Source organism: Homo sapiens, chromosome 3 (genome assembly GCF_000001405.40).
Source record: "Homo sapiens chromosome 3, GRCh38.p14 Primary Assembly".
NCBI lineage: Eukaryota > Metazoa > Chordata > Mammalia > Primates > Hominidae > Homo > Homo sapiens.
The window spans coordinates 27467257-27490661 of record NC_000003.12 but is presented as its reverse complement, the minus strand read 5'-3'; the positions used below and the strand labels follow the sequence as shown (position 1 = coordinate 27490661).

The following is a 23405-nucleotide window of genomic DNA, read 5'->3' as shown; positions in this document are numbered from 1 at the left end:
ATTTTATAAGTGAAAAGAGATGAAAATGCCTCTTAAGTCTGGAAGGGGATGTGTTCCTATTGTAAAGGGAAAATAAATCTTGGAGCCCCCAAATCACTAAGCTAAAGGGAAAAGTCAAGCTGGGAACTGCTTAGGGAAAACCTGCCTCCCATTCTATTCAAAGTTATCCCTCTGCTCACTGAGATAAATGCATATCTGATTGCCTCCTTTGGAAAGGCTAATCAGAAACTCAAAAGAACGCAACCATTTGTCTCTCACCTACCTGTATATCTTACATATATTGATTGATGTCTCATGTCTCCCTAAAATGTATAAAACCAAGCTGTGCCCCAACCACCATGGGCAAAGTTGTCAGGAACTACTGAGGCTGTGTCACCTGTGTGTCTCCTCAACCTTGGCAAAATAAACTTTCTAAATTAACCTGCGTCAGACTTTTGGGGTTCACACTATCAAGGAACAGGTACCCCAAGGAATGGTGATGATAGTGGTGTTACACTCTATGTGAATTATACATGTACACAGAGACTCCATGTTATGTAGCTTGATCTTAGTGATCTACATTCTTTTCTGTCTCTCTCCCTGGATGAATATCTGATCAATAACAGCCTCTCAAAATATCCGGGAGTATACTAGCCTAGGTATTTTGTTGCTTCAGTGGAGACAACAAAATACCTAGGCTGGTATACTCCCGGATATTTTGAGAGGCCATTATTTAACCCAAATTATCCAAAGTATTGTCATTTCAACATGTAATGAATATAAGATTATGAACGAGATTACTTTCTTGGTGTGTATGTTAAATCTTTTAAGCATATCTCAATTAAGACTAGCTACATTTCGGCCAGGCGCAGTGGCTCACGCCTGTAATCCCAGCACTCTGGGAAGCCAAGGCAGGTGGATCACGAGGTCAGGAGTTCAAGACCAGCCTGGCCAAGATGGTGAAACCCCGTCCCTACTAAAAATACAAAAATTAGTCAGGCATGGTGGCGAGCACCTGTAAACCCAGCTACTCAGGAGGCTGAGGCAGAGAATCACTTGAACCCAGGAGGCGGAAGTTGCAGTAAGCAGAGATCGCACCACTGCACTCTAGCCTAGGTGACAGAGTGAGACTCCGTCTCAAAAAAAAAAAAAAAAAAAAAGACTAGCTACATTTCAAGTTGTTTCCCTCCTTAATACCCTCTAATGGTGGTTCTGCAATTTTGTGTAAAAAAAAAAATCCAATTTCCTTAGCACTTATTCATTCAACATATTTTTGATGCCCACTATGTGCCAGGCACTCTGGGATGTTCCCAGTGACAAGGAACATCCCGCACTTGAGGAGTTTTCACTCTAATGAGAATATAAATTCCTCAGGGGCCCGGTATACAAGGCCTTTCCCTTTACATGAACCTGAGCCCACCTTTCTCCCACCTTGTGGTTTCCCAATCAGATAATAATTATAAGCATTTATTGAGTGTTTCTTGCATGTAGGTGCTATATTTGATGCCCTCATTTAATATTTATTGCAATTCCCTTGAGGAGGGTACCACTATTATCCCTAAAACATCTTCTAAAAGGAGGCTTTTGGCTGAGCGTGGTGGACTCAGAACTACATGCATTGCATTGTTGACAGTTGTTTATATATTGGTGTTTTGCACTCTGAACTCCATGAGATCAGGGACAAGTTCTGTTTTTGTTTTTATTTCCTCATCTTTTGAATATTTATCTGTATGCCTAGCCTATAGAAATAAAGAACAATGAAGTAATTTTCCTTGTGTCTTTGTCCCGTTGAGGCTGTTCTGGTACTCTTGAAAACACTATTCCAATGATTTTACTTTTCCTTATAGGATCAGATGATAGAAAACCTTTAAATATTAGCTATAACCAAGAAGAGGCAATGAAGATACATATAATTGCCAAAGAACCCTCTGCTAAAAGTTAAGAATGGTTTCACGTGGCCAGGTGCGGTGGCTCACACCTGTAATCCCAGCACTTTGGGAGGCTGAGGTGGGCAGATCACCTGATGTTGTCAGGAGTTTGAGACCAGCCTGACCAACATGGAGAAACCCCGTCTCTACTAAAAAATACAAAATTAGCCAGGCATGGTGGTACGTGCCTGTAATCCTAGCTACTTGGGAGGTTGAGGCAGGAGGATTGCTTGAACCAGGGAGGCAGAGGTTGCAGTGAGCCGAGATTGCACCATTGCACTCCAGCCTGGACAGCAAGAGTGAAACTCCGCCTCAAAAAAAAAAAAAAAAGAATGGTTTCACACTTTTCAAAATACCAAAGAAGCTGCTCTCTGTCTTTATAAACTATACCTTGGCCTATAGAGAATTGTTCTTGGGAAGACCGTTCACTCCTCAGGATGGGGATCTTGCCAAGGGGTTTTTAGGATTATCTACTGCTCCAGATACTCAGGAAGTATTCTGAATTTAGGATACAGCTAAAACTCATTAACTTTAGGTACTACCACTTCATTGCTACTGATGAATTTAGGTTTACATTTACCTTTGTTTAGCAAATGTTTCCCTGTGCCATATTTCAAATTAATTTTTTTTTTTTGAAACGGAGTCTGGACCTGTGCCCCAGGCTGGGGTGCAATGGCGTGATCTTGGCTCACTGCAACCTTGGCCTCCGGGGTTCAAACAATTCTCCTGTCTCAGCCTCCTGAGTAGCTGTGACTATAGGTGCCTGCCACCATGCCCAGCTAATTTTTGTATTTTTAGTAGATATAGGGTTTCACCGTGTTGGCCAGGCTGGTCTCAAACTCCTGACCTCAGGTGATCCACTTGCCTTGGCCTCCCAAAGTGTTGGGATTACAAGCATGAGCCACTGCACCTGGCCCCAGATGAATATTTAAAATATTCAAGAATACAATTTACCTTTCAGCACCTTGGAACACTTTATAGCCATCTCTGGTTGCACAAAAGCAATTTTAACACATTATCTTCTTGAATGAACTTTGGCTGAGGTTGAATTAAGTGGGCAACTGAGTGATAAATTTAATAATTCAGATCTTTGCTACATTCCTCTTCTAGCAGTTGGGATGAAATGAGGAGTGGAAAAAGTGCATGGCAACAAAGACGTCACTAAAAAAATATTTGTGGATTAAATAAACCAATAATTTTTTCTTCTTGCAAGATAGATGAACAGAAATTCATTGTTTAGCAAGGTCTGCCAAGCATACATTTTTAAGACCTTCTTGAAGCTGACTATTTAACACTTTCAACTCTGGCACCATGATTCTTGACTCCTACTTTGTTCTTGTTACTATGGCCACATGCTCAGCTGTCACCTAAGATGCTCTTAGATCTTAAGAAGAGCAGATGTATGCCCCACCTGTACATTTACTCATTTAACACATGTGCTGAGAGTTTACAGGGGCCAAACACTCACGTAGGCATAGGGATATCTGAGAAAAAACCAAAAACCAAAAACCAAATTTGCTGTACACATGAAGCTTACATGGAGCTCACATTTGTGCGTGTGTGTGTGTGTGTGTGTGTGTAGACAATAAGCATAATAAATCATAAAATATATAGAATGTTATAGCCAGATGCGGTGGCTCACACCTGTAATCTCAGCACTTTGGGAGGCCGAGGCAGGTGGATCACTGGAGGTCAGGAGTTCTAGACCAGCCTGGCCAACATGGTGAAACCCCATCTCTACTAAAAATACAAAAAATTAGCTAGGTGTGGTGGCGGGCGCCTGTAATCCCAGCTACTCTGGAGGCTGAGGCAGGAGAATTGCTTGAACCTGGAGGATGGAGGTTGCAGTGAGCCGAGATTGTGCCACTGTACTCCAGCCTGGGCAACAGAGTGAGACTCCATCTCAAAAATAAATAAATAAAAAAGAATGGTGCCAATAGTAAGAGCAGTTCCACTCACCAGAACTCAAAACCAGTATTTCTATGGGCTTCAGCTTCCTCATCTGTAAAATGGAGCTATAACATATTTTGTAGTATTGTTTTTTTGTTTGTTTGTTTTTGCTGCTCCAGTCAACGAAAGAGACACACTTTATTGAGGCTCCAGGGAGGCTGCCGTTCGAGGAAGGAAGAGCCTTGACCTTCTTGGGTTACAGGTTGTTGGTGTGGTCACACCTCTTGCAGCAGTTGACAGCACGGGGGTGCAGGCAAGCATAGCACTTGCGGCAGATCATCTTGTCACAGTTGTATTTCTGGGAGAGCTGGCAGAGGGAAGGCTCAATAATGCCACCTTACAGGCGCAGCACCAGGTGCAGGGTGGACTCTTTCCAGATGTTGCAGTCTGAGAGAGTTCGGCCATCCTCCAGCTGTTTGCCAGCAAGTATCAGATGCTGCTGGTCAGGTGGGATACCTCCTTGTCTTGAATTTTGGCTTTGACATTCTCAATGGTGTCACTTGGCTTGACGTCAAGAGTGATGGTCTTGCCCGTGAGGGTCTTCACAAAGATCTGCGTCTCTGCGTCTGCAGCTCAGTTGCCTTGCCGAAGAAAAAGATGACGGCAGATATTTTGCAGTATTGAGAGGATTAGAAATGAAATATGTTTGCCAAATGTCACAGTCTCTAATTGTAGGCCTCTTTACATAGTAGCTATTAATAGAGGCACATCTGCTCTTGTACAAGTAAGTGAACAATGTGTGCTGGACTGGAAGTAACTCTCTGGGAAATTTAGGACAAAAGGGGACTAGGGCCCAAAGAAGGAATGAGTCATCCAGCATACCTAGCTACCTATTGCTGACAAAAAGCTTTACTAATACCCAGTTGGAGATGAATAGGATGTGAGCTCTGGATCCGCTGATGTATTTATATATCCTTCCATTGCATGGCTTCAGTTCTTCCCAACTAAACCTCTCCTTATCTTTTTTTATTTTATTTTTTATTTTTTTGAGACAGGGTCTAGCTCTGTCACCCAGGCTGGAGTGCAGTGGCGTGATCTCAGCTCACTGCAACCTCTGCCTCCTGGGTTCAAGCGATTCTCCTGCCTCAGCCTCCTGAGTAGCTGGGATTACAGGTGCCTGCCACCATGCCTGGCTAATTTTTGTATTTTTAGTAGACACGGGGTTTCGTCATGTTGGTCAGGCTGGTCTCGAACTCCTGATCTCAGGTGATCCGCCCGCCTCGGCCTCCCAAACTGCTGTAATTACAGGCGTAAGCCACCGCGCCCGGCCAAATTTCTCATCTTTATGAAACACTCAAGAGAAACCTGTTAACAATAATGAAAATTATCAGCATGCTATGTGCCAGGCACTTTTATGAATATAAATCCCCTTAATCCTTCAATGAGCCTGCATGGCAGGTATTACAATCATCCCGTTACAGAAGGGATATTTGAGAGACGGCCTACAGGGTGGACTCAATAATGTGGCAGCTGGCCGGGTGTGGTGGCTCATGCCTGTAATCCCAGCACTTTGGGAGGCTGAGGCTGGTGGATCACCTTAGCTCAGGAGTTCGAGACCAGCCTAACCAACATGGTGAAACCCCGTCTCTACTAAAAATACAAAAAGTTGCCGGGCGTGGTGGCGCGCGTCTGTAGTCCCAGCTACTCAGGAGGCTGAGGCAGGAGAATAGCTTGAACCCAGGCAGCGGAGGTTGCAGTGAGCCGAGATCATGCCATTGCACTCCAACCTGGGCTGGTGCAAGACTCTGTCTCAAAAAAAAAAAAAAAAAAAAAAAAAGTGGCAGCTGTCGTGGTGCTCAGTGGGCGAGCAAGCACAGGAGGACACCTGGTCAAGTGTACCCCATCTTTCACGGTCCCTGAGTTGGGGTTCGTGCCTACTGGATTGACAGAAAAGAAACTTCCAGGAGTCGTGAAGACTCGTTAGTTGCTTCGGAGGGTTATCCTGGGCGTCCTTGACAGAGGTGGCGTCCTCCTTCCCTGCAGCCTCTAAAGAATGTAGTTAGGAGCCAAGGGAGGTGGTGACCCCCCACCCCATTGAGAACGTCAGGGGAGCTTCCGACTTGAAAAACTAGTTAGACGCTCAGCTTCGGTCAATTAAGCTTATACAAAGAGGGGCGGTGCGTCCTGAGGAGGTGGCACGGGGGAGGCGAGCGGAAGTCCGCCAGCCGCCGATTGGCTGGGACAAATGTCCGTCCCGCCTCCCTCCCGCCCCATCTCCCGGTGGCCTAGCGGCGCGGCCCGCGGGCGCGCTGAGGAGGCTGGCGGTGCCAGACTGGCAGGGGGCGTGACCCGAGGAGGCGGGGCGGGGGGGCGTGTCTTGCCTGGCCCCGGCGCCGGGCTCGTCACGGTTTGCGGCTCCGCCCCCGAACCCCTCCTCCTACGCGGCTCTCCTCCTTCCCGCTCGGTCCGCCGGTTCGCTCAGTTCTAGCTTCAGGTTCCACGCCGCGGCCTCGCTCTCCTACTAAAGCCAGCCCAGCAGTCGCAGCGCGCACACGCACGCCCCGCGTCTCCCGCGCCCGGCGCCCGGCTCTCCCCACGCGCGCACACCTCGCGCACGGACGCACCCACGTTTGTCCTCGCGCGCCGGGGGCTCGGCGGCGGCGGCAGGGGCAGCGGCAGAAGCAGGCAGACCGCGCGGGGCAGTACCGTAGCGGCCGTCACGGGCTGGCCGGCCGGCCATGGAGGCTGATGGGGCCGGCGAGCAGATGAGACCGCTACTCACCCGGGTAACGAGCAGGGTGAGGGCGCCGCGGCGGTGGGGCTCCTCCGCAGGGGGAGGGCGCGGGGCGAGGCAGACAAAGGCGGGGGGCGCGGCGGGCGTCGCGGCTCGGCCACCTCGTCCCAGGCCCGTCGCCCCTCCACCTCCCGGCGGCCGGCGCGCCTCGCCATCCCCTTTGTGTGGCGGCCTGGGGCGCGGGTGGGAGGGGGCCAGCGGCTGCGCTCGGGAGGCCCGAGTCGGGGCGGCCGGCGGCGCGCCGCGGGCATCCTCTGCGCGGCTCAGGCGGGACCCCGACATCCCCGCAGAGGCCGCCTGTGACCCCGACCATCCATCCCTTCCCTCAGCGCTCGCCTCCCCTGTTTCTTAGCGCGCTCCCCAGGCGGGGTCCCGGTTCCGGTTGCCTTGGCGCAGGAGTTTCAGATTAGCCCTCGAAAACCTATCTTTCTTCTCCTTCTAAGGAGGACGGCGGCTCCACCTGTCTCTAGCCCCAGGCAGTGGTGAAGAGCTGGTTGAATCTTTCCCCCTCTTTCCGAGTGTCCCCTCCCGCTCCGCGGTGCGCTTTGTTCGGTGAGTTCTCCGGCCGCGTGGACTGGCCGCGCTCCTTCCCGGCCAAGGCTCTTTCGCTGTTGCCTGCCGGGTCCGCCTTCTCCACTGGCTGGGACCCGGGGAGTATCCTCCTGCCGCAGGCCAAGTAGAAGGAGGAGGGTGTCCTGAGCTGTCTGGTGCTCCTTCTCTAACTCAGCTAGCAAGATCGCGTTTCCTACTGAGACTGGCTTTGATTTCAGGGTTAGAAGAGAATGGGGATGGACTTAAGGCCGGTGTTCCCATTTGTGATGATGGGTGAACGGCCCATGCTCAAGAAGCGGACTTCCTGCTTTCTTTAGAGCACATGCGTCCCCGCAGTTGTCTCTTTCTCCTTTCCAAGTTCGTGACTCAAAGGAGATGGAAGTATTCTAAATTTTCCTACTTCTAATTTTTACTATGCAACCAGCAAAGGCGGGAAGGTTGCAGGGAAAATTGTCCGGTCTTTCACAACTAAGAGGAAAATTACTTCTCCTATGTTTTTATTCAAGAGTTGTCTTTAAAACTGCCTGCCGGCTTTCCCTTTTAACTTTTAGGATTATAGTTAAGGTTATGGAAAGTAGTCATTCATTAGTTCAGTACGTTCATATAAGTTCTCTAACATAGAAGAAAACTCAGTCACCAGACAGTGAAGTCATTTAGCAGTGGTTATTGGAAGATAATTCACAGTGATGGTAATGGAATACTGGAAACTCATCCTAAATAATCTGTAATTATTATTATTATTATTTTGAGACAGAGTCTCGCTCTGTCGCCCAGGCTGGAATGCAGTGGTGCGATCTCGGCTCACTGCAACCTCCTCCTCCCAGGTTCAACCGATTCTCCCGCCTCAGCCTCCGGAGTAGCAGGAATTACAGGCACGCACCACTATGCCCAGCTAATTTTTTGTATTTTTAGTAGAGACGGGGTTTTGCCATGTTGTCCAGGCTGGTCTGGAACTCCTGACCTCAGGCAATCCACCCGCCTCGGCCTCCCAAAGTGCTAGGATTACAGGCGTGAGCCACCGCGCCTGGCCTTCTGTAATTCTTTGTGTAGCCTTTGAATAAACTGTTTTATAGTACTTTCTCTGTGTATTTCAAGTATGATGTTGTCTGTTCTTAAATTTATTTGCAAATTTTCAATTGAGCAGTAAAGTGCATTCGAGTTTTCACGGAGCTGGATAGAAACTATGGTGTGTTCTCAAATATTGCCTGCCTAGCTAGTAGAGAAAGCATGTGATAAGGCCATTGCCCTCCAAGTTATTCATTCATTCATTGTAATAACACTTATTTAGACTAGTGTTTATGCTATTTAAACTATTATTTACACTATTTACTGTAGTGGCCAACAAGGCAGAACCAACTCCATCCTAATATTTATTTATTTATTTTTGAGACGGAGTTTCGCTCTGTCACCCAGGCTGGAGCGCAATGGCCTGATCTCGCCTCACTGCAACCTCTGCCTCCTGGGTTCAAGTGATTCTTCGGCCTCAGCCTCCCGAGTAGCTGGGATTACAGGCATGTGCCACCATACTCGGCTAATTTTGTATTTTTAGTAGAGATGGGATTTCACTGTTGGTTAGGCTGGTCTCGAACTCCTGACCTCAGGTGATCCACCCACCTCGGCCTCACAGAGTGCTGGGATTACAGGTGTAAGCCATGGCACCCTACCCAACTCTATCCTAATAGAAGTGATATTTGAGTTGGGAGACAGATGACAAAGGAATTATTAAACACTGCTGTTAATGACGTGGTAGGGGAGCACTTTAGAAGGGTAAACCTCCTAAGTCTTTGAGAAGATAAGGCTTGGCTACTGTTAACATATATAAATCAATAATAGAAATCAAATACAGTAAACTAGCATATAGTCTACGAATAGAATGGGAGAATAGTAAAGCTGTAGGTTGAACTGATTTGAAAACAGGAAAGAGGAACTATTGGCGTTGATAAAATTAAATCTTCGCTCACCCAGTTTTGGTAAATAAAAGTCGTAAAAGTGAGAGATCATGATATTCATCAGTCATAACTCTAACTCGCAGCAGACTGCTCAGCATAGCCAAAAAAGTAGAACAAATTAATATTCATAAAATCCCATCTTAGATTTGTAATTATGCAAAAAAATGTTGAATAGATTGGTGGCAGTTTATATTACTCTGAAATTGGAGCCCATCTGTTTCATAGTTTAGCCTCTATGGTTGCTTCTGCTCCTAAAATTCTCTAATTTTCACTGATCAGGGTGTTGGGATAGAGGAAAGTCATTAATCTTGAAAAAATGTAACTTGTCTTTTGCTTTTGCTATAAAGCCTCATAATTGTAAGCCTCACTTGGAATTGATTTGTGAGTCTTTTTTTGTTGTTGTTGTCAGTCTTATTTTCCAGTATAGGTTAAATCCTTTTATAAATAGCATGGTTTAGAAGGTTTCTAAGTTTTAGCAGGTAATCTACTTTCTTTTAAGCAGTGCATGATATAACACAATTCTGATACCACTGACATTTTGGGACCATGATATTTTTCCATGATTTTGTTATGATTTTATTCATTTTGCACATATTTATTAAATATCCTATAGGTGCCAGGTAATGGGGATATAGTCAAACAAGGTAGACAGCATACTGCCTTCGCTGAGTTTATTTTGGCGTATGGTGTGAACACAGTGATGGCATTTACATTTCTGCTTTCCATTTGTGAGTGCCAGTTAAAACATTTCATCAGTCTGTAAGAAATTAAAAAAAAATAGTCATTAGAATAAATGACAGACCCGGACAACCCAGTATGAATTCGGTAGTGATTGGCAAATGGAAGTTTTTTTTTGTGGGTCTGTAAGTAGGCATTCTGTTTGGGGAATCACAGTTACGTATTGATACTAGGTATTGATGTGGCACCCTAGGAATAGTATCAGGGTTTCAGTTACCCTTTTGCCTTATTCTAAGTATCTCTGGGCCGCAATCCATGGAGTTGTAATAAAGGGAGAGAGCAAATCTGAAACTGTAGGACAAGGCTAGGTGCTGTGGCTTATGCCTGTAACCCCTGTACTTTGGGAGGCTGAAGTGGGAGGATCACTTGAGCCTAGGGGGTTTGAGACCAGCCTGGGCAACATAATGGGACCCTGTCTCTACAAAACATAATTACCCATATGTGTTGGTGCTAGCCTGTAGTCCCAGCTACTTGGGAGGCCGAGGCAGGAGGATCACTTGAGCCTGGGAGGTTGAGGCTGCAGTGAGCTGTGATTATGCCATTGCACTGCAGCCTGGGTGACAGAGTGAAGCCCTGCCTCAATACAAGATGAAACAAAGCTGTAGGACATTTGAGTTAGATTGATGAATTGTTTTGCCTGGTAATTGAGACTGGGAAGTACACAGGTTTTCTTCTAAGAGCTTAGAGAATTTTGTTACATTAGACTCTTGTTATTTGAATAGGTTAGAATACAGAGCCAAAGTAACCTGGTATTGGAGGAACCTGGTGTATTATTTTAGTGGGATGTGGTGTGCTAACCAATATATTCTAAAACTTTGCTAGTTATAATTGTCAACATCCTGTAATGGGTGTTTTCTTCCTCTTTTCCTCCCCCTCCTTCTTATTGTATCTTACCACAAATATGATCTTAAAGTGGATAGGATCTGCAACTGACTAAACTGTGTGGGCCATTTAGGCGCTTACAGATATTTCCATAGGGTTAATGTTAAAGATTAGTTACAGATCAGTATAGCTTTTGATTTGTACTATAGTTTCTTGCTGATGATTACAATTTCCTCTGTAGCTATCACTTTTTATGCATACAGTATTTTTAGTTTTAGAATAAGCAGTGAATTTTACCTCTATTTTCATTTAGCAGGCAATATTGTGTATTTTGTTGCATTTTTGCAGTTTGGAAAAATTTAGGACTATTTGCAATTATAATGGTGACAAATCATAAAAGGTCTTTGGTTGATATAGTGTTATGGTAGTGTTTGGCAGTGTTGCTGTTGACAATCTTCCTTAAGGCAGAGGGCTAGCTGATTAGAGTAGACTAGGTTGCCTAAATTAGTGACTCTTTCCTTTCATGGACTAGACATTTTCAAATGACTGTTAAAATAAGAGAGTGGCCTAATACCTTTTTTTTTTTGTTGCTGAGGCAGGGTCTCATCCTCAGGGTTGCCCAGGCTGAAGTGCAGTGGTACCATCATGGCTCACTGCAGCCCCAACTTCCTGGGCTCACGTGATCCTCCCACCTCAGCCTCCTGAGTAGCTGGGAATACAGGCACACCACCACGTCTGGCTAATTTTTTGTATTTTTAATAGAGGCAGGGTTTCAACATTTTGCACAGGCTGATGTCGAACTCCTTGGCTCAAGCGATCCACCCTCCTCTGCCCCCCAAAGTGCTGGGATTACAGGCGTGAGCCGCTACATCTTGCCAACACATCTTTTCAGTACTTGGTTTAGAAAGTTAATGTGTTCATAATATAGATTTGCATTTTATCTGGCGCTGATATGCCAATACAGACAGGTTCTAGTTTGGTGTTTTTTTGTTTTTTTTTTTCCTGAGACAGGGTTCTCACTTTGTCACCCAGGTTGGAGTGCAGTGGTGCGATCTCGACTCACGGCAACCTCCACCTTCTGGGTTCAAGAGATTCTTGTGCCTCAGCCTCCCCAGTAGCTGGGATTACAGGGGTGTGCCACCACGCCCCCCTCTCTCTCTTTTTTTTTTTTTTTTTGTATTTTTAGTAGAGACAGGGTTTCACTATGTTGGCCAGGCTGGTCTTGAACTCCTGACCTCAAATGATCCACCTGCCACGGCCTCCCAAAGTGCTGGGATTACAAGCAGGAGCCACTGTGCCTGGCCTAGTTTGGCGGTTTTAAGCAGATTTTCAGATTTCTTCCAAAGAGGATGTTTTAAAATGTTTTAATTTTTCTTAAGCCATTTTAGTGAGCGTACTTAAGCAGTTTTCAGTATCAAGGGGTTAAAGCATAGTCCACTGTTAATTGTGAAATAGGGAGGATGCTTTAATGTTGTTGGGTTTTTTTTTTTTTTTTTTTGAGGCAGTCTCGCTCTTTTGCCCAGGAGTGCAGTGGTACGATCTTGGGTCACGGCAACCTCCGTCCCCCGGGTTCAAGCGATTCTCCTGCCTCAGCCTCCCAGGTAGATGGAATTACAGGCGCACGCCACCACGCCCGGCTAATTTTTGTATTTTTAGTAGAGACAGGGTTTCACCATGTTGGCCAGGCTGGTCTCGAACTCCTGACCTCAGGTCATCCGCCCACCTCAGCCTCCCAAAGTGCTGGGATTACAGGTGTGAGCCACCGCACCCTGCCCGCTTTAATGTTTTAAATGACCTTTTTTTTTTTCCTCATTTTTCAGAGAATTTTATGTGAACTAGTATCATTTGGTTCTGATTCTGTTCACTCACATTTTAGGCAGTAGAGAAGTTGTGTTCTCCCTCTCTCTGGATTCCAGGACTGTATTGCTTCTTTTCAGTCAGATTTCCCAATTTGGAAAAGCTGTCGAATTGTGTATCATCTCTGATTAGGAACATGAGAAATGGTTATACTTTTGACAGTAGATTCACACTTGGAAGATGCCTCTTTTATTTCGTTACAGAAAGGAGTGTGGAATGGTTTTCAAAAGAGCATGAAAGCCGGGCGCGGTGGCTCATGCCTGTAATCCCAGCAATTTGGGAGGCTGAGGCAGGTGGATTGCCTGAGCTCAGGAGTTCGAGACCAGTCTGGGCAACACGGTGAAACCCCGTCTCTACTAAAATACAAAAAATTACCAGGGCGTGGTGCTGTGCGCCTGTAATCCCAGCTACTTGGGAGGCTGAGGCAGGATGAGGCGGGAGAATCGCTCGAACCCAGGAGGTGGAGGTTGCAGTGAGCCAAGATCGCGCCACTGCATTCCTGGGCAACAGAGCAAGACTCCATCTCCAAAAAAAAAGGCTCTGAGAAACCTTATAATACATAAAGACATTAAACTTTGATGGGGAGAGAATGCAGCTTAATATTACGTGGTATTGCCAAACAGAGATCTTTGATTATTCCAGCCTAATGAGAAACAGAAGAGAAGGGGACGAGCAGTGGTTTGGTATCAACCGTGGGTTCAGATCTTAGCTTAGCCTCCAATGGTAGGGCCTGAAAATTTTTAGAAAATCTCTGCCCGTGAGTTCACATCTTTAACACAGAGATAATAATAAGTGATTAAATGAGAGACCTAATACAATGCATTGTTCAGAGCAGGCTTTCTCTAAAAAGTTAGCTGCTGTTCACCAACTTGCCACACAGCAAAGGACAAAATCATAAATCTTGCATTAGGATTTGCATCAATGCAAGAAACATGACATTTCTCCTGCCCAGTGCTAGGATTAGAGGAAGAGTATGGTAGAACCTTCAGTGGAGTTTCATTATTTCTTCTGAGGGCCTAGAATAATGCTGAAGTTATTAATTCAGAGTTAGCTGTAGTAGTTTCCTTCTATTTTTAAAAGGTGTTATTATGTAAGTTTTGTGAATTAAGTTGCTAATGTTACAGAAATTAAGTATCTGAAATTTGCCTCTCTGCCTCCAGATTCCCTGATGGCTGGGGATAGAGTTTTCCTGGGTCATTCATTGCTAAATTCTCAATTAAGTCTAGCCTAGGGTTTTACACATTGAACAAATATATTTGTTCAATGGATGAATGTTAGGATGATGTATTAGTCTGTTATGACAGTGCTATAAAGAACTACCTGAGACTGGGTAATTTATGAAGGAAAGAGGTTTACTTGACTCACAGTTCTGCAGGCTGTACAAGAAGCATGGCTAGGAGGACTCAGGAAACAAATATGGTGGAAGGGGAAGCATGCAAGTCTTCACATGGCAGTAGGAGAGAGAGAAGTGGGAAGGGCTACACACTCTCAAACAACCAGATCTCATGAGAACTAATGAGAACAATGAGGGGGACATCTGCCCCCATGATTCAGTCACCTCCCACCAGGCCCCTTCTTCAACATGAGGGGATTACAGTTTGACATGAGATTTGGGTGGGGACAGAGCCAAACGATAGCAGATGATATCATGACTCAATAAGATTTGAAATTGAATATACTGCTAGTTAGTTGTTTAGTCAAGTAATATGTTATATGGCTTTTATTTATGGTATTAACCATTAAGAAAAAGAATGCTACTTTGCTTGATACAACTGCCAGTAGAAGAGAATATTTCTTGCCTTGGTTCCTTGAGTGAGAATGTTGAGTAAATGCAGTAAATGCAAGTTGGATTGATTCCAAAGAATACATAACATTTTTTAAACCTGAGAGAAAATTTTAGGCAAGTGAATATTAAGCACCATTAAAATGAAAATTTTAAGAAAATTTATCCTATTTTCACCACTTTTAAATACATTTACACTGATTGTTGGAAAACTGGGTATTTTACTTAAATCTTAATACTTGTGTAATTTTGCTTTATGAAAAGCAGTGACTTTTGATATATATGATTATAAAACCACCAATGACAAGCAATTTCAGATTCCAGATGTCAGCCGTTATATGTATTGGTTTGAAATTATGCTATTCTATTCTTTACAATTATTACTTACATAATATAATTTCTTTCTGTTCATCTGCTTTTAATTTTGTGATTTTGAGGTTTGTGGACCCTCTTCCTTCCTGAACTCTGCCACCCTAGCTTGCCAATCCATGCATAAATGTTTATACAGGTGCTGTAATTAGCCAATGCACCAACTCAGTAGAGTCCTTTCAGTAATATTTTGTCTTTATTTTTGTTTTGTTCATAATTATTCCCAAATGACCTTAATTATAAAATGTCCAAGAGGAACTTCCTTATCCATTTTTGCATATGCCATTAGCAGTATCCTCGGGATAAGATTTTGTTATAAGCCTGTTTGTATCTGGGGAAGTTGGTCATTTGTTAGGAATAAGGGATTCATTCAGTCTAAAATTGGCCTTCATTTGGCCTTTCATTTTATCTTATTGAGCTATTTTATTCAGTAATAGGAAATTCAGTAAATAATCATACACTCTAATCCTCATTTTCAAAACAAGGTAAAATTTGGAGGTGGCTTAACCTAGATGTAACAAGTACATGTTTGGGTTTCAGATATACCTGGGTTCCCTATTTCTAATATGCCACTTAGGTGGCTTTGGGCAACTGACAGCTTTGAATCTCATTTTTCTCATGTGCAAATTGGAATTACTCTATTAAACTTATCTCGTAGGGCTCGTCTTAGGATCAGGTAGAATACTGTGTATAAAATGCTAAATGTGCCTCTTGGAAACTTGCTATTAATAATCAGCCTGTGTTCTTATGGAGTATCCTACATAATAAAATTGTAGAAGAGTTTGTGTACAGAATGAGGACAGAGAAAAAAATCTTGACTGTCCTTAAACCCCTGGTGTTTAGATATTCTAGATAACTCTGTGGGCAGGGATTTGATACTGGTTTTTTTTCTTTTTGAGACGCAATCTCGCTCTGTCACCCAGAGTGCAGTGGTGCAATCTCGGCTCACTGCAACCTCCACCTCCCAGGTTCAAGCGATTGTCCTGCCTTGGCCTCCCAAGTAGCTAGGATCACAGGCGTGCGCCATCATGCCTGGCTAATTTTTTTGTGTTTGTAGTAGAGATGGGGTTTCACCATGTTGGCCAGGCAGGTCTCGAACTCCTGACCTCAAGTGATCTGGCAAAGTTCTGGGATTATATGTGTGAGCCACCGCGCCTGGCCTGATACTGGTTTGTTGCCTAAAGCTTCACATTTTAAAGGATATGATGTGTTGACAAAATTGTTTAAAAGCCTAATTAAAGCATAATTGTCTTCCTTTATTTATTTTGAGACAGAGGCTCGCACTGTCTCCTGGAGTCACTGTCTCCATGAGTCTTGTACTGTTGCACAAGCTGGAGTGCAATGGCGTGATCTCATTTGCCTCCCGGGTTCAAGTGATTCTCCTGCCTCAGCCTCCCGAGTAGATGGGATTACAGGTGCCCGCCACCATGCCAGGCTAATTTTTTGTATTTTTAGTAGGGACCGGGTTTCACTATGTTGGCCAGACTGGTCTCAAACTCCTGACCTCGTGATCTGCCTGCCTTGGCTTCCCAAAGTGCTGGGATTACCTTTAAATGATTTAACCATTTTGACAAAATATTTAAAATGTGATATATCTCTCCTTTTAAGAATAGAGTACTGATCACTAACTAGCTTTATACTGTTTTTAAAACTTACCTTGTGTTTAACTGTTTTATCATTGAATTTCTTATCTGCTGTAGATTTGTTATTGATAACAAATGAAATGACAGTTATTTAGTGGAGATGATGATGGAGGCCTCTGTTATCTCACTTATTTATTCTCTGAGACACAAATTTTACCTCCTAAGACTGCTTTCTGATTCTTGTTGTAGATAGCTTAATTCTGTTTTGATGAGATCTTACTGTATCTTTTTGATAATGTTAGACTTTCAAAATTTAGTCTCTAGAGTATAGAAAGTCAGAGAGCTTAGCATAGTGTTCAGTCGAATAGGCGTAAGATAGTTTCTAGTTGTTATTCTGTTGAGGCAGGACGATAATAAATTATACTTTATAAAGGGTTCATATTCATAGTTTCATCTTAAATTTACCATTTATATATTTTTTCTGTAATATGAAATAATTACCATGAATTTTATTGGGTAAAGTGATAGTCTTCTAAATTTTGTTTTGGGTACACACACAATTTGTGCACATACGCTCTTTGTGATTTTATGTATGTATTTGTATTATTAGATAACTTAAAAGATGTTCACAAATTTCGAGAATAACTATGTAGCATTGAATTTTATTGGGTTAATATACTCAATCTGCCTTTTTTTTTTTTTTTTTTTTTTTGACATGAGGTCTCACTCTGTCACCCAGGCTGGAGTGCTGATATGATCTCGGCTCACTACACCCTCCACCCCCCGGGCTCAAACAATCCTCCCACCTCAGCCTCCCGAGTAGCTGGGACTACAGGCACGCACCACCACACTTGGCTAATTTTTTGTATTTTTGGTTTTGCCATGTTGCCCAGGCTGGTCTCAAACTCCTAAGCTCAAGTGATCCGCCTACCTTGACCTCCCAAAGTGCTGGGATTATGGGCATGATCCTGGCCTCAAGCTGCCTTTCTATTTTACAAAAATGTGATTTCTCAAAGGGGTCGTTAAAGTAGGAATTTTAAAGTAATTCAGCTTGTTTTAAAGAGCCGGTTGTATATGTACTGACTTTATTAATTACATTTTTTTTTAAGAGATGAGGTCTTGCTATGTTGCACAGGCGAGAACGTGGTGGCTATTCACAGGCATAATCATAGTGCACAGGAGCCTTGAACTCCTGGGCTCAAGTGGTCCTCTGGCCTCAGCCACCTAAGTAGCTGAGACTAATGGTGCGTACACACACACCATGCCCAGCTTATCAATTTTTGAGATAGATGTTTTCTTCCATTTTTTAAGCTGATTCTAATCCTTTTTTTTTTTTTTGAGACAGAGTCTTCCTCTGTTGCCCAGGCTGGAGTACAGTGGCGTGATCTGGACTCACTGCAACCTCCGACTCCCAGATTCAAACGATTCCCCTGCCTCAGCCTCCCGAGTAGCTGGGATTACTAGCTTGCGCTACCACGCCCAGCTTATTTTTGTATTTTTAGTATAGCTGAGGTTTCACCGTGTTGGCCAGGCTGGTCTCAAACTCCTAACCTCAGGTGATCTGCCCGCCTCGGCCTCCCAAAGTGCTGGGATTATAGGCATGAGCCACTGTGCCCAGCCTGATGCAATTCGTTTTTGAAAAGGAATTTTGATAGAGGTAAGATACAAATAGAAATTGTTTCATTGATTAGAAATCAAAACAGTATTTTAATATGGTTCCATAGCAAAGTATGAGCCCATCAGAATTTGAATTCATATTGGAGGTGTGAGGCAAGAGGTGGGAGATAAGGTCATAAAGGGAGTGGAGGAAATGATTTTTAGATTAAATTTCATCATTTCAGATCACAGCTGAAAAATGCAAATTATACACTTTATATCACTGCATTCAATTTAGTTATTTTATTTTGTTTTTATATATATTTTTATTTATATGTATATATTTTGAGATGGAGTCTCATTCTGTCGCCCAGGCTGGAGTGCAGTGACGCAACCCATACAGATGGGGTTTCGCCATGTTGGCCAGGCTGTTCTTGAACTTCTGACCTCGGGTGATCAGCCCACTTTGTCCTCCCAAAGCACTGGGATTACAGGCGTGCATTGCGGAAACCAGCTGCATTCAATTTAAAAAGACATTTTAAAATTTAATATCTTGTCACTGACTTAAGCTCATGTATTCAATTTTTATATAACTTATTTGCTATCATCTGCTAATTGCATTGGTTTAGCAATAAATGGCTTAAAAGGTCAATAAATGAGTATTGACTGGATTAGCTCTGAGGGATTGTTTTATACCATGCCAGTGCTTTCTTTGTTATGGTTGTGAGCTTTGAAGAGGGAGGGGCAGTTTAAGATTGTAATTTGGTAGCAGTGAATTTCAGATGATGGGGGATGGCTGCCTCTCTGCTAATCTAGAATAAATAGCTGATTGGAGGAGTAAATACTGTTCATTGAGAAGATTTTCATGTAAAGCCAGAATGATAATATTTTCAGCTTTTTCAATCGGCCTCACAGGAATGGCATATAAAGTGTAAAAAATGAGCATGGGCTAACAAATTTTTGTTGGGTCTGTTGGTTAGCAGTCATTTACTGTTTAATGCCTTGAATCACTCAAATGTTAAAGCTTTTGCTTTAGTTTGTCATCTGAAACAAATTAGCGTGAACCACAGTTTATAAAATGCAGGCCTGGGACTTGTAATGGGAATTTTTTACTCACTTTGTTGATAGTGTATTAAAGCTTCAAATTGGAAGCTGGGCGCGGTGGCTCACGCCTGTAATCTCAGCACTTTGGGAGGCCGAGGTGGGCGGATCACCTGAGGTCAGGAGTTTGAGACCAGTCTGACCAACGTGGAGGAACCCCATCTCTACTAAAAATACAGAATTAGCCAGGTGTGGTGGTGCATGCCTGTGATCCCAGCTACCTGGGAGGCAGAGGTTGTGGTGAACTGAGATTGCCCCATTGCACTCCAGCCTGAGCAACAAGAATGTGAAACTCCGTCTCAAAAAAATGTTCCCCCTTTCACCTTGTTCTCCAATCTGAATAGCTATGGGGCTGAAATCCTGACTAGCCTCTGCCTGCTTTAACGTAGTTATTGTTAAATAAAATTCAGGAAGGATATACCCCAAATATTCATTTCCTGAATCTCTTCCTTACTGCAGATTGAATCTTTTCCAAACTGCAGGTTGTGATTTATTAATAATTTGTAAAAACAATTTAGTGGATTATAAGTGTTAGAAAAGAAAGGAACAGAATAGAAAATTAAAACAATACGTTGCAAATAGTAGGGGCATATATTGTTTTGTGAAACTTTTTATTTTATACATGCATACATACATGACATGTAAAGAGGTATATTCTGCTTCCCGGCCATTTGGCTAAGATCAAGTGAAGAGGTATGTTATGTACTGGGTTGTGATGCAAAATGTGTTTCTTTCCAGGGTTTGCTGTTTTGTTTTATTTTATTTTATTTTATTTTTTGTGAGACGGAGTCTTGCTCTGTCACTAGGCTGGAGTGCAGTGGCGCGATCTCGGCTCATTGCAACCTCCGCCTACTGGATTCAAGGGGTTCTCCTGCCTCAGTCTCTGGAGTAGCTGGGAGTACAGGCGCATGCCACCACGCCCAGCTAATTTTTTGTATTTTTAGTAGAGACGGGGTTTCACTGTGTTAGCCAGGATGGTCTCATTCTCCTGACCTTGTGAGCCGCCTGCCTCGGCCTCCCAGAGTGCTGGGGTTACAGGCGTGAGCCACCGTGCCTGGCTGTTTTTTTTTTTTTTTTTTAAAGTTGGAGCTACTCTGCCCATGAGGTAGCCACCCTTTTATTCCTTTTCTTAAAACAAGTTGGAAAACCATTGCTATAGATAAACATTCGATTTCATTCTTTTAGAAATAATACATACCTATATATTAATATATTCAATATATGTATCAGTCATATATATATTCATTAAAATGTTAACACCCAAGTATTTAGATTAAATGCTGTTATTTGGCTTATAAATTAACAGTACATCAAAAAGTTTTTATTTTGGCAAATTTAACTTCATATTTCATTAATAGTAGCTTACTTGTTCCATGTATATTAATAAATTGAGGTGTAATGAGAAGAAAGAACTGCCGACAGATTATCTTCTGTTCAATTTCAAACTCAAATCAACTGCTTAAGCCTTTAAGCTCATGAGCAAAAAAAAAAAAAGATCTACAATTAGCTAGCAAGACTGTTTAGTCAGTTCGACTCAGAAATAACTTGAAATATTGCAATGTGTTTAATTTGGAAAGGACTTAATGCAAAACTATTGAGAAAAATATCTTTAATGCTATGGCAATTGAGCCAATTACTAGATTTTATAAGAAGAAAGATAAGATACATGGAATGTTTAATTACACTAAACTGTAATTCTTATGTTTTATATGTATGCCAATACATGGTTAAAGGAGGCTTGAAAGAAGGCAAGTATTTATTTTTTAGGATAATCCTCAGACATTCTTAGTTATTTTGTTACAGCTACTTCTCAAAGGTTAGTTGAATGTTTATTTCTAAAAGAGTTAACTTATTTTGCAGTGATTGGACAAAATGGTCAGCTTTTCTAAGACTATCAACTGTATCATCATCTTAGCACCTCAGCAATGGCTTTAATTATTATTATTGTTATTTTATTATTTTTTTTTGAGACAGAGTTTTGCTCTTGTTGCCCAAGCTGGAGTGCAATGGCATGATCTAGGCTCACTGCAACCTCTGCTTCCCGGGTTCAAGTGATTCTCCTGCCTCAGCCTCCTGAGTAGCTGGTATTACAGGCATGTGCCACCACGCCCGGCTAATTGTATTTTTAATAGAGACAGGGTCTCTCCATGTTGGTCAGGCTGGTCTCGAACTCCATTTGTATCCTTTATAATATCCTTTATAAATCAGTAAACATAAGTAAGTGTGTCTGTGAGTTCTGTGAGCTGCTCCAGGACATTAATTAAACCCAAAGAGGGGATTGTGGAAACCCCAATTTAAAGTTCCAGAGGCCTGGACTTGTGATTAGTAGGGGATGGGGTGGTGGGGAAGAGTCTTGGTGACTGAGCCCTCAACCTGTGGGATCTAACACTATCTCCAGGTAGTGTTGGAATTAATTAATTAGAGGACACCCAGCTGGTGTCTGCTGCAGAATTGATTGCTTACTTGGCTTGCTCGTGGGGAGAAATCCCCTGACATTTGGTCATAGAAGTCATCTTCTACGGTGATGATTGTTGTGAGAGCACAGGAAAAATGATTTGAGTTTTTTCCAAAGAGTACTAATACCTAGTATTTAAGTTTTTTTTTTTCTTTTATTGAGACGCAGTCTCCCTCTGTCGCCCAGGCTGGAGTGTAGTGGTGCAAAATCAGCTCACTGCAACCTCCGCTTCCTGGGTTCAAGCAATTCTCCTGTCTAAGCTTCCCAAGTAGCTGGGATTACAGGTGTGTGCCACGAAGCCTGGCTAATATTTGTATTTTTAGTAGAGACAGCATTTTGCGTGATGGCCAGGCTGGTCTGGAACTCCTGACCTCAAGTGATCCGCCCACCCCGGCCTCCCAAAATGCTAGGATTATATGCATGAGCCATCACGCCCCACTCCTAGTATTTCATTGAATGCTTATATTGTACCAGAAATGTTTCTAAACTGTATTCATTGCATGCAACATCTTGTTTAATTTTTTTTAGCCTATCATTTGTATAAATATTGTTATCCCCATTCTACAGATGAGGAAACAGATCCAGTGAGACTAAGTAATCTGCCCAGCGTAGTAAGTGAAGAGCCAGGATTTCAATTCAGACAATCTTACTAGATCTAGAACCTATATTATTACAATTATTATTAATTTCTTCCTAGAACCATGTTGCCCAGGCTGGAGTGCAGTGGCTATTAACAGGTGGCTTCATAGCACAGTGCAGCTCTAACTCCTGGGCTCAAGCAATCCTCCACCTCAGTCTCTTGACTGAGTGTGACCGGTGTGTATCACTGCACTCAGCTTAGATCATGTATTATCTTCAGCCAAAATAAATTGGTTGACAAATTGCATTGCATATGTTTATGTACAGTTTTTCAGTATCTAGTCTTAATTTTATCCTAATATACAACTTATGGAGATAATTTTTTGGATTATGTCATTAATTAGTAGCTGTTGTCAAACATGTGTAAATTGTTTTAATCTCTTAATAAGAATTTATAAGGCTGCTCTTGGTGGCTCACGCCTGTAATCCCAACACTGTGGGAGGCCGAGGCGGGCGGATCACTTGAAGTCAGGAGTTCAAGACCAGCCTGGCCAACATGGTGAAACGTCATCTCTACTAAAAATAGAAAAGTTAGCTTAGCTGGGTGTGGTGATGTGTACCTGTAATCCCAGCTACTTGGGAGGCTGAGGCAGGAGAATCTCTTGAACCTGAGAGGATTTTATTTACATATAAAATGCATATCTGAATACTATTCTACTATATCCTAAATTTGGCTAGTATAAAAATGAAATATTTAATAGTACTTTGCCTTGATAATTTTTTTCTGAATGAAATTAAATGTACAGCTTTCTTAAAGCAACTGCTAGAGAAGTTTTTCAAACTGAATTTCTTTGCCTTTAGAGTCATTCTCTTAACCATAATCACAGCATGAGAGAAAAATTCCATGGTTCTAATCATAACCACTAGATGGTGATCTTATACATTGGTGAAGCCTAAATTTTAGTGGTGTTAAATACTGAAATGGTCGCCCAAATTAAGCAGTGTGAACTCGGCAGTGATATTTAGCAGTGTGAAAGGAGTGGACTGGCTGTGCTCCTCACTGAAACATATGTTTTAAAGTGAGACAGGTTTCCATTTGTTTTACGGGATTTCTTCTTCCTCTTTTCTTGGCTACTTGCTTCAAATTTATGTGTAAATTAAATTAAAACCTTCATGTTTGTTATAGTATTAAAGCTGATTTATTGTGTTGACATTTGTGCTGCTTATTGCTGCGATTTCAATTTAATTAGCTGTTACTGAATTGCTAGTAAAGTGTTTTAAAATAATGAAGTGAAATTTTTTGTGATTAATTATGTTTTACTTAGAATTCCATAAATAAGGCATATAAGTAAAATTATATGTAGTTTAATATAGGGGAAGGTATGTGGCCTAGTGGAATGAACATGAGCTCTTTGAAATCAGATACCCCT

General features: G+C 42.7%; 1 protein-coding gene and 1 pseudogene across 19 annotated transcripts in view, besides 10 other annotated features; one reads left to right on the top strand and one right to left on the bottom strand.

Moving 5' to 3' along the window:
* UBA52P4 (ubiquitin A-52 residue ribosomal protein fusion product 1 pseudogene 4) lies at positions 3965 to 4455 on the bottom strand (annotated as a pseudogene).
* Positions 5620 to 5749: an enhancer, noted in NCBI's record as "active region_19619". NCBI's record gives its function as "activates an Ori minimal core promoter by ATAC-STARR-seq in GM12878 lymphoblastoid cells {active_cell/tissue: GM12878}" and the evidence as "EXISTENCE:reporter gene assay evidence [ECO:0000049][PMID:35858748]".
* Positions 5880 to 6359: a silencer, noted in NCBI's record as "silent region_14151". NCBI's record gives its function as "represses an Ori minimal core promoter by ATAC-STARR-seq in GM12878 lymphoblastoid cells {active_cell/tissue: GM12878}" and the evidence as "EXISTENCE:reporter gene assay evidence [ECO:0000049][PMID:35858748]".
* Positions 5880 to 7004: a biological region, named in NCBI's record as "H3K27ac hESC enhancer GRCh37_chr3:27525149-27525925".
* Positions 6228 to 7004: an enhancer, noted in NCBI's record as "H3K27ac hESC enhancer chr3:27525149-27525925 (GRCh37/hg19 assembly coordinates)". NCBI's record gives its function as "activates a minimal SCP1, AML or CMV promoter by ChIP-STARR-seq in primed H9 embryonic stem cells {active_cell/tissue: H9 hESC(primed)}" and the evidence as "EXISTENCE:reporter gene assay evidence [ECO:0000049][PMID:30033119]".
* The window catches only part of SLC4A7 (solute carrier family 4 member 7), a 111662-nt gene continuing 94534 nt past the window's right edge, over positions 6278 to 23405 (top strand). For 10 of the 19 annotated variants that reach the window (NR_135541.2, NR_135544.2, NR_135543.2 and 7 more), the window contains exon 1: positions 6278 to 6583. Coding sequence is in view for 14 of the 19 variants with exons in the window: in XM_017007527.3 (XP_016863016.1) it covers positions 6536 to 6583 (48 nt within the window). In the remaining 5 variants the exon portion in view is untranslated. Of the gene's footprint in view, positions 6596 to 7034; positions 7144 to 23405 lie in introns of all 19 variants that reach the window. The other 9 variants (XM_011534263.4, NM_001321105.2, NM_001321104.2 and 6 more) reach the window with 2 other exon arrangements.
* Positions 6390 to 6749: a silencer, noted in NCBI's record as "silent region_14150". NCBI's record gives its function as "represses an Ori minimal core promoter by ATAC-STARR-seq in GM12878 lymphoblastoid cells {active_cell/tissue: GM12878}" and the evidence as "EXISTENCE:reporter gene assay evidence [ECO:0000049][PMID:35858748]".
* Positions 6780 to 6849: a silencer, noted in NCBI's record as "silent region_14149". NCBI's record gives its function as "represses an Ori minimal core promoter by ATAC-STARR-seq in GM12878 lymphoblastoid cells {active_cell/tissue: GM12878}" and the evidence as "EXISTENCE:reporter gene assay evidence [ECO:0000049][PMID:35858748]".
* Positions 7020 to 7079: an enhancer, noted in NCBI's record as "active region_19618". NCBI's record gives its function as "activates an Ori minimal core promoter by ATAC-STARR-seq in GM12878 lymphoblastoid cells {active_cell/tissue: GM12878}" and the evidence as "EXISTENCE:reporter gene assay evidence [ECO:0000049][PMID:35858748]".
* Positions 7110 to 7319: an enhancer, noted in NCBI's record as "active region_19617". NCBI's record gives its function as "activates an Ori minimal core promoter by ATAC-STARR-seq in GM12878 lymphoblastoid cells {active_cell/tissue: GM12878}" and the evidence as "EXISTENCE:reporter gene assay evidence [ECO:0000049][PMID:35858748]".
* Positions 7480 to 7539: an enhancer, noted in NCBI's record as "active region_19616". NCBI's record gives its function as "activates an Ori minimal core promoter by ATAC-STARR-seq in GM12878 lymphoblastoid cells {active_cell/tissue: GM12878}" and the evidence as "EXISTENCE:reporter gene assay evidence [ECO:0000049][PMID:35858748]".
* Positions 18538 to 19038: an enhancer, noted in NCBI's record as "H3K4me1 hESC enhancer chr3:27513115-27513615 (GRCh37/hg19 assembly coordinates)". NCBI's record gives its function as "activates a minimal SCP1, AML or CMV promoter by ChIP-STARR-seq in naive H9 embryonic stem cells {active_cell/tissue: H9 hESC(naive)}" and the evidence as "EXISTENCE:reporter gene assay evidence [ECO:0000049][PMID:30033119]".